Source organism: Homo sapiens, chromosome 20 (assembly GCF_000001405.40).
Source record: "Homo sapiens chromosome 20, GRCh38.p14 Primary Assembly".
Classification (NCBI taxonomy): Eukaryota; Metazoa; Chordata; class Mammalia; order Primates; family Hominidae; genus Homo; species Homo sapiens.
The window spans coordinates 4,461,725-4,470,752 of record NC_000020.11 but is presented as its reverse complement, the minus strand read 5'-3'; the positions used below and the strand labels follow the sequence as shown (position 1 = coordinate 4,470,752).

At 37.3% G+C, this 9,028-nt stretch overlaps 1 long non-coding RNA gene across 1 annotated transcript; it reads left to right on the top strand.

The window, feature by feature from the left end:
- The first annotated feature begins 379 nt into the window (after positions 1 to 379).
- Positions 380 to 3,456, top strand: LOC124904862 (uncharacterized). The gene is made up of 2 exons (XR_007067505.1): positions 380 to 914; positions 1,915 to 3,456. It is a non-coding gene; the product is annotated as an uncharacterized LOC124904862 (long non-coding RNA).
- Positions 3,457 to 9,028: the final 5,572 nt, after the last annotated feature.

The following is a 9,028-nucleotide window of genomic DNA, read 5'->3' as shown; positions in this document are numbered from 1 at the left end:
GAGAGTTGCTCCTCATTATTTTCAAAGATAAGACAGCAGAGCAGAGCCTAAAGAGTTAAGTGACTGGCACGCAGTCTGGAGTAAGTTAGAGACACAGCCAGGAATAGAACGAAAGTCTGAATTTCCCTTCTTGCTTCCTGCCACACTATACCTTTGTGTACATTTTTTGATGAGGAGTCAGATTTTATTTTAAGCCACTCCAAGGCCCTTAACTGGCATCTTGTTTTAATTATGCCACTTGCAAACTGAATGTATTATGGTTTGACCACTTAAGTCACTCTGGAGGAAAGCTCTGGAACTGGGCTTTTAATTGGATTGGCTAAAGATAAATCAAGCATAACCACATGTGAATTTCAAACAAATGATTCTATTTTATTAGGCAGATAGAGTGAGCTTTTACCCTTGCACGTTATAGTTACTCATTGTCTCCTATTCCCAACATTGTTAATATTCTTTTCTTTTCCTTTTGTTTATCTGTTCTGCCGGAGGGTTAATATTTCATGGAGTTGAAACTTGGATTATTGCATTGATCTTATTAGGCAAAAAAATGCTGCATTTCCTTTATTTAGCATTCAGGAGCAAGATCTTTGCACCTCTGCCTACTCTTCTCTTTCCTACTCTATGCACAGCAGAGCCAAACCTAGAACAGCAGCCAAAGCTTCGGATGGTCTGGAATGTGGATTAAGAGCTGTCTGCATAGCTCAGAACCGGCCCAGAAGGAGGAAGAGAAATAATTCCTAATGTTGTCAAGTCCAACTCTGAAATGTCCAAAGCACTATGGAGCCTCTGGATGGATGGAAGTGACAAAGTCCCTTCCTCATTGTGATTATTGACAAACAACGTTTGCCTGTTTCATCACCTTCTGCAGGTACCAAGTCTCCCTGGTAGAAAGCCAAGTAGGAGATGAAAGTAAGGTAGGTCGTTGGGGGTAGTGTATTCGTTCTATGGATAATTAGTACCAAATAACCTTGTGGACCAACCAGAGTTAGCCCAGTTGGCAAACAAGTGTTTTCATATGTGCTGAAGGGTGCTATGTATGGTGCGGGGAAGTTGGTGGGGTGAGTTGTGTGATGAAGAATATGGAGACCTGGTTACCTCCAGAAACCTTTCTTATTTGAAAGATCTCCATTCTGGGTGTGGCCTGGGGAATGATACTGTAAAGAAGAGGGCTCACCTGGGAAGGAACCAACCCCGTGCAAGAAGGGAGTAGCTGAGGCCAGAACCGTGGCTATGGGATCCTGGGCCTGGAGCCTGGGGAGGAGCAGGGAGGCTCTGGGCCGTGGGGACACATCCTTTTTCATGGAATTTGCCATAGGAATCACATCAGAATGAAACCAGGCTAAAATAGCCTGGTTATTGCCATTCACAATATTTCTAGCGGCCATGTGGTAATCGGGCCACCCTCCAGGATCTCTGTGTCTCAATTAACAAGCCCCATTGCCTCTGGGCAAACCAATGCAGTCATTAATTGTGATCTGGCTATCCAAAGCCTTTCTCATTTAAGTAGGAAAATTTCCAAGGATTCTTGTTTTGGGATTATCTTTCAGGAACCTTTGGGGTGGAAAGAAATCTCTCTATGCAAGTATGAGTTGGCTTATTTCTTTATCACACTGGAAGACCTAGTTTGAAATTTCTCATAAATTCAAATAATAAGCAATACTTTGTCAAACCAGGAAACAAGCTACAGTGGCTAAACTCTTTGGATGTAATATGCCACTAAAGCATTAATGAAACGAGCAAGTGTATTCAGCATTCTTTAAGTCAACTCAGGAAATATTTTTTAACTCTTTACCTTGTACAGAGCATGGCAGTCTGTGAAAAGAATTTCAGGAAAGTTCTGTAGTGGGGAATGAAGGGCAGAGGGAGCCTGAATATAGGGTTAATATCTTTCCATTTCTGATGTTTCATTTTAAGCCTGAAAAATCAAGGAGAAGCTGGAATTTGACAGTTAAAAAATGAAAACATGTTGAAACCTACCACGGCATTATCTGGAGTCCTCACTTCCTAAAATGCAGCACCCCTGATGGAACAAGTTGCACTCCAACCTAGCTTCTATTGGTGCCTAAGCTACTTATGAACTGTGACCACATTTGGAAGATGCATGTAATACTTTTTCAGTAGCCTAAAATCAAATGGCCCATTAGGCTGCATACTGGTGACCTTCAGAAATATTCAATAGAGACGACCTTAGAGAGTGGAGGAATTTAATAGTGTGATGCTTTCCACTAGGCAAATAGACATTGAATAGAAGAAAGATTTGCTTTATGGTGGAAGGAAAATTTATCTGATAGGCAATTTCAGCAATGTGGAAGCATAGCCAGGATTTCTCCATAGTGACTGGCTCTCCACAAACTTACACAGCTGATTAAGTTTGCCATTGAGACCCGCAGACCCATCCTCTGCTGCATTCCTTACTTCCAGGAGCTCTGCATTTCAGTCTACAGGGCACTGTCCTTGGATACATATCTGTCAAAAGCTGCTCTTTTCTCTGATGTGACTCTTCTATGATTCACTCCAGCCAGTTGCTCCCATCACCTTTCTCCATCTTTCACTCCAAATGCAACCAACTGGCCAAGTATTATTGTTTTCTAGCTTTATTCCCCTGTGCTTAGAGATCATACTTTTTAGGATGTTGATACTTTGAATTTTGTTGAAAATTGCTTTATATCCCAGCAGCATATAATCAATTTTGACAAATGTTCCATGTGGACTTAAAAAGAATGTGCATTCTGCAGCTGCTGGATACAGTGCTGTGCTAAAAATCCCCAACTCTAACTATGGATTTGTCTATTTCTCCTTTCATTTCTGTCAGTGTTTGCTTTAGATATTTTGAAGCTATATTATTGGGTACATAAAAATTTAGAATTGTTTTATGGTCCTGTTGGACTGACTCTTCTGTCATTATAAAATATTTCTCTTTATCTCTTATCTACTTTATGCAATAACCATATACCGACATCCTTGGTCTTTTATTTAAGGTATGCATGTTGGATTATATCTTATAATCCTCTTACTTTTAATCTTTCTGTATCTTTATACTTAAAGTGTGTTTCTTATAAGCAATAGTTTTTAAGTCTAATTTCACAATCTTTCTCTTTTAAATGGAATAAGTCTACATATTCATATTTAATGATATATTTGAGTTTAAATCTGTTATTCTACAATTTATTTTCTATTATTAGCCCACCTCTGTTTGTTTCTTTTTATCCCTTTCTTGCCTTTTTTTGACCAATCAAGTATTTTTATTGATCTGTTTTATCCCTCTATTGGCTTGTTAGTTATATGATCTTTTACTATTTTTAAATGTTACCCTCAAAATCACAGCATTTATTCATGATTTAGAATATAATATACATTAATATTTTACCACTGTTTGTAAAATTCAAGGTCTTTAGAACACTTTAACTCTATTTATTCCCTCTGTATTCTATTTTATAAAGTAGGCCTTTGAAATTATTTACACTTCCCTGTTTCTTTATTGTTGTTACTCATCTGTTATGACATCACATCCTTTTATGTGCTTATATTTTGCTTTATCTTTCTGTTATTTAGCATACAATTTAAAGTAATTTTTTCAAGGATTTCTGATGGGATGTTCTCAAGCCTCTGAATGTCTCAAATTGGCCTTCTCTTGCATTTCCACATAAATAACAAGTTCTCTGAATATAAAAGATAGCATTCACAAACTTGAACCCTTATTGATAATCTGATTTTGTTTTAAATCATGAGACTTAAAGGAGTATTTTTTAAATGGTAATTCAAATATTTTCCAGTTTTTGTCTCGAGGGTCTTTTCTCATTGGTTTTACCTGTTACAGTTCTCTATTTATTTATTTGTCTATGCCTTTAAGTGCCAAGCCCTATGCCAAGGATATAACAATGAAAGATATAATCACTGCTTTCAAGTATGCTCGGGGTTTAGATAAATAAAATACTCATTAAAATTTAATAGGTTAAGGACCATAATGTGGGAAAGATAAGGCAGCATGGGCTCACGGAAGAAGAACACAAAGTCCAGATGAGAGTCTCAGGTAAGGCCTCCTGGAAGAAGATGCAGGATCTTCTACACCACAATAATTTCTGGACAGTATTATTATTATTATTACTTTAAATCTAGCCTCTGCCTCTCTGAAAACAGCCATGATCATAATTGTAATAAACATATCTTTGTGCCCATGGCTGGGACTCCCTCCTAGTTGGCCTGAGAAAGCCTATTTATCTTCTCAACCAGTTAGTCCAGGAGAAAGTTACAACTGCAGGAGGAATTGTAATTTAATATTATTCGTGGTAACTAATGGCTGGAAGATTGCTCATTGGTCTCAGTACAGCCAGTTGACTGAGTTAGGGCTTTTGAGGAATTGGTGTTGGGAAATTCTAACGCAGAACCCATAGTTGGCCTCTTCAAGCACAGTGTGATAAACGACTTGAATGACATTTTCAAATACTCTTGGAGGCAGCCAAGCATGACATCTTAGCTTGAACATTTTTCACCTTCCTCTCCCAGCAATGCTTGTTTACAAAGATTGATGAGGCTAAAACAAATAATAAAAATTATTATTTGTCTTAATTTAGTTTTTCCCAGAAGAAGACCTTGAGACAAGGTTTCAAGTGCAAGTTGTGAATTTGGAAGGTGCAGAGAACACCAGCATTGAAGTGAGGCAGTGAGACAGGGATGGGAAGGGAGCCAGTAAAGGGTTCATTCTTAGGACAGCTACTACAAAGGGCAACCAGAGCTTCATCTCTAGTGGAGACCTCTGATTGCAAGTGTAGAGCACATGCCTTAGAGTTTTCTCACCCAAGAAGCAGAAGATCTAGGATAGCTGTACAGTAGTTCTGGGCAGACCATGGTTGAGGTCTGCTCCCAGAAGAGTTGATACCAGCCCTTGCAGCTGCCCTACGATGAGTGTGGGTAGAGTGGCCTTCAGGGAATTTAGAGAGAACCCTCACACAGAATAGAGATACTGGCAGTCAAGAGTGGGAAGGGGCTCTGTGAAGTAGTAAGGCCTAAGTGCTATGGACAGGGCCAGTGTCTGCTCCTGGTTCTTCATGCTGTTTGTCCAATGCACACCAATCCCCGTAAAATAACTTCTGGGATTTAAAAAAAAATCCCACTTTCTGGATCCTTGAAGCAAAACAAACAAACAAAACATGTTTGAAAAGCTCAAGCTAAATCATCTCTTCCCTCCTCCTGGAACATCCAGCAACTCAGGGCAATCCAACATGGTCCCCAGGGCCATCTTTTCTTACCTAGCCTGCCTCTCCTGGGGATAATTAACTTCACTGCCTTTGGCATAGCCCATTTTTCAACCAAACAGTTTGAGGGGGAAAAAATTTATTATTTCATGGAGCAAACAGTTACTGAGCAGCTCCTCTGTTCTCCCAGCAGGGCCGTTAAACACAGTAGTTATAGTACTTTGTGTTTTTTTGCCATTCACAAGCAGCTTCCTCCCTCCTGCAAATTCCCATCACAACAAATCTGTGGTCATGCACAGCCACTCCACTACTCTTAGGCCTAAGCCTAACTATGGGTTCTACCCTTAGAATTTCCCAACACTAATTCCTCAAACTTTCATATTTGTCATCATAAAGTATATAAAAATGATGACATGAATGATTGAAACAATATAATTAGTAAACTATAATTAATAACTATTTCAAACTTTGTCTTATGCAGTTATTATTTATCTTATAAAGCATATTGTATTTGCGTTGCAAAATACAGTTTCCTGCTAATTAGCCACAGGATATTAAAAAGTATTGAAAAATGTAGTCAGGCATGAGAAAAATAATAACAAAAATCATAAGTCAGAAAGATGAATATATGCAATCTATGTTCTCAAAGGAAAGTATAACAACTGGAAACAACAACAAAAGATTAAACAAATTTTATGAATACTCTTTTGAATAAATTTCTGATTAATGAGGAAATAAAGGGATTTGAAAACAGCTAATTGAAAAATAATGAGAATCAGAATAATTCACATTTAAGATTATGGAATATGCGTAAAGTTGTTCTCAATAAATTGTAGTATTAAATGCATGTTACATTTTTAAAAGTAAAAGCAAGAGAAAATAATTTCAACTAAAAAGTGAAGAAAAAAGGAACAAAGGAAGCAGAAATAAATATATTAAAATATAAAAACAAAAAGTAAAATTAGCAGCAGGAAAACGCACAATGGCATGAATAGATAGTGAATCTCAGAGAACGTCTTTGAAAAGAATCAGTAAAATGGCCCAGCTGCTGGAAAATCTAATTTTAAAATGCCATAATCAAAATGAAAAAAGGAAAGAAAAAAATGGCTAGAACTTATATAAAAGTTTTTAAAAATTACAGTATAATTAAGTGCTTTTATTTTGAAAATCATTTAAGATGGAAATTGTATTAAGAAATTTAGATGACTAGAATTGACTCAATTGGAATCACATGGTTAAATCACTTAAGGAAGAAATTAAGAAAGTTAAAGAATTATTCTCTCACCCCAAAGAAGGTGATTGTAGGCTGAAACATTATAAAGCAATGGCAATTAAAACTGGTTCTGGGGATGGAATAGACAGATTGGGCCAGCTAGAATGCTTTGGCAGCAAGAAACAGAAAAATCTGCTTGAAATTAATTGAAACATTAAGGAAATATATTACCTTATGTTATCAGGAAGTCCACAGGTTGGTGGCTCCAAGCAGCACATAATCAATGCCTCGAGGATGTCACCAAGAAGCCCAGTTCCTACCAGGTCTCCACTTAGCATCCTGACCGTGCTGGCCCTGGGCATGGTTGCAAAGTAACTGTGGCAGTTTCAGGCATCATATCCAGACATGATAAGATCTGCAGAAAGGAAGAGTCTGCATCTTCCTTGGGGTTCCATTTAAGGGTGAGAGACTTTTGCCCTATGCCAGCAGATATTGCCTCACATCTCAATGGCCAGCAACGGGTCACACATCCATCCCTAAAATCTTTGGCAAGGGAGTGCCTTAACCATGGTTAGATAATTAAAGACATTGGGTATTGAATTATTCAAACCAATACACAGATTGTTAGAATGAAGACTCCATGTCCGCTCTTGGTGTGTTTCAGGAGTGTTTTAAACTTTTCCTCATGTAAGTTTACATGATTCTTGTGAAGTTTATATTTAGATATTTATATTTTCTGTTGCTAATAAAAACAAAAGCATCTATGCCACTACATTTTCCAACTCATTGCTGTTGTTATATATGAAAGCTATAGATTCCTACGTATTAATTTTTATAGCCCATTTATTTGCTGCAGTCTCTTTTTGTTTGTAAAGATTTTCAGTCGATTCTTTTAGATTTTCCAGGCCATATTATCCACAAATAGGGAGAATTTAACCTTCTTTTTCCCAGTGTTTATAAATGAAGTATCATGCTTTTGTCCAATAAAAGTGGCAAATACTTCCAGCACAATATTAAATGGAAAAGGTAATAATGAGCATCCTTACTGTGTTCCTAATTCTACTGTTTACAAATTTCTTTTTAAAAAGTGTTTTAAGAATGGGTCAAATGCCTTTTCAGCATCAATATGTTAAAAATTTTCTCCTAAAATCTATTAATATGTTGTATTAGTCTGTTTTCACACTGCTATAAAAAATACCCAAGACTGGGTAATTTATAAAGGAAAGAGGCTTAATTGAGTCACAGTTCCACATGGCTGGGGAGGCCTCAGGAAACTTGCAATCATGGCAGAAGGGGAAGCAAGACAAGTCTTACACGGCAGCAGGAGAGACTAGGGCAAGGGGGAACTTCCAAACACTTTCAAAACATCAGCTCTCATGAGAACTTCCTCACTATCAAGAGAACAGCATGGGGGAAACTGTTGCCATGATTCAATCACCTCCCACCAGGTCCCTCCCTCAATACCTGGGGATTACAAATGGAGATGAGATTTGGGTGGGGACACAAAGTGAAACCATATCATATGCTGACTTGTAATGAATACCTTTCCTAATACTAATCTATCCTGGCATTTCTGAAATGGAAACTTTGTGGTCCTGCTACTAGTCTTTTAATGAGCTGTTTGAATCTAATTGCTGTTGTTATATTTACAACTGTAATATGTATATTTGCAAGTGAGATTAACATGTAGGTTTTTTTGTACAATTTTTGTTACATGTTGGTGTCAACGTTATCCACCTTATATAAAAAATTTTGCAACTTTTTATATGTCCTGGAAAAGTTCAAATAGCATTGTAATAACCTATCCTATGGAAGCTTAGTAATAATTCTTATGTGAAACTATCTGGGCTGATATATATGTTCTATGAGTTGATGGAGGCTTATTCTTTAAATACTTTATTTCTCTAATGAAAACTTGTCCATATAGTTTTGTTTCATGTAATCATTGTGTTTCTTCTGGAATTAATTTTAGTAAATTATATCTTCCAAGAAAATTATTTATTACATCCAAGTTTTAGAATTTCATTCACATTTGCATATTGAAAACCTACTTGTATAGAATTGTACAAATAGCCTTATTTTTTAAAATTATTAAGTTGTTGAGGTTATTTTCTTTTGCCTTTTCTTATTGTTTGTGCTTCCTCCCTTTTGCTTGATTAAATTTACTGCTTGTCAATCTATTTCATTCATTTTTTAAGAGAAATAGATCCTAATTTGTTAATTCTACAATTCTTCTAATGCATTGATTTTTGCTTCCATCACTATAAAATTCTTCCTTCTTCTTTTAGTTTATTTTGTGTTTTCTCCCTATTTTTTAAAGTTAGATACTTGGCCGGGCACGGTGGCTCATGCCTGTAATCCTAGCACTTTGGCAGGCCAAGGCGGGCGGATCATCTGAGTCGGGAGTTTGCGACCAGCCTGACCAACATGGAGAAACCCTGTCTCTACTAAAAATACAAAATAAGCCAGGTGTGGTGGCCCACACCTGTAATCCCAGCTACTAGGGAGGCTGAGGCAGGAGAATCGCTTGAACCTGGGAGGCAGAGGTTGCGGTGAGCCAAGATCGCGCCATTGCACTCCAGCCTGGGCAACAAGAGCGAAACTCCGTCCCAAAATAAATAAA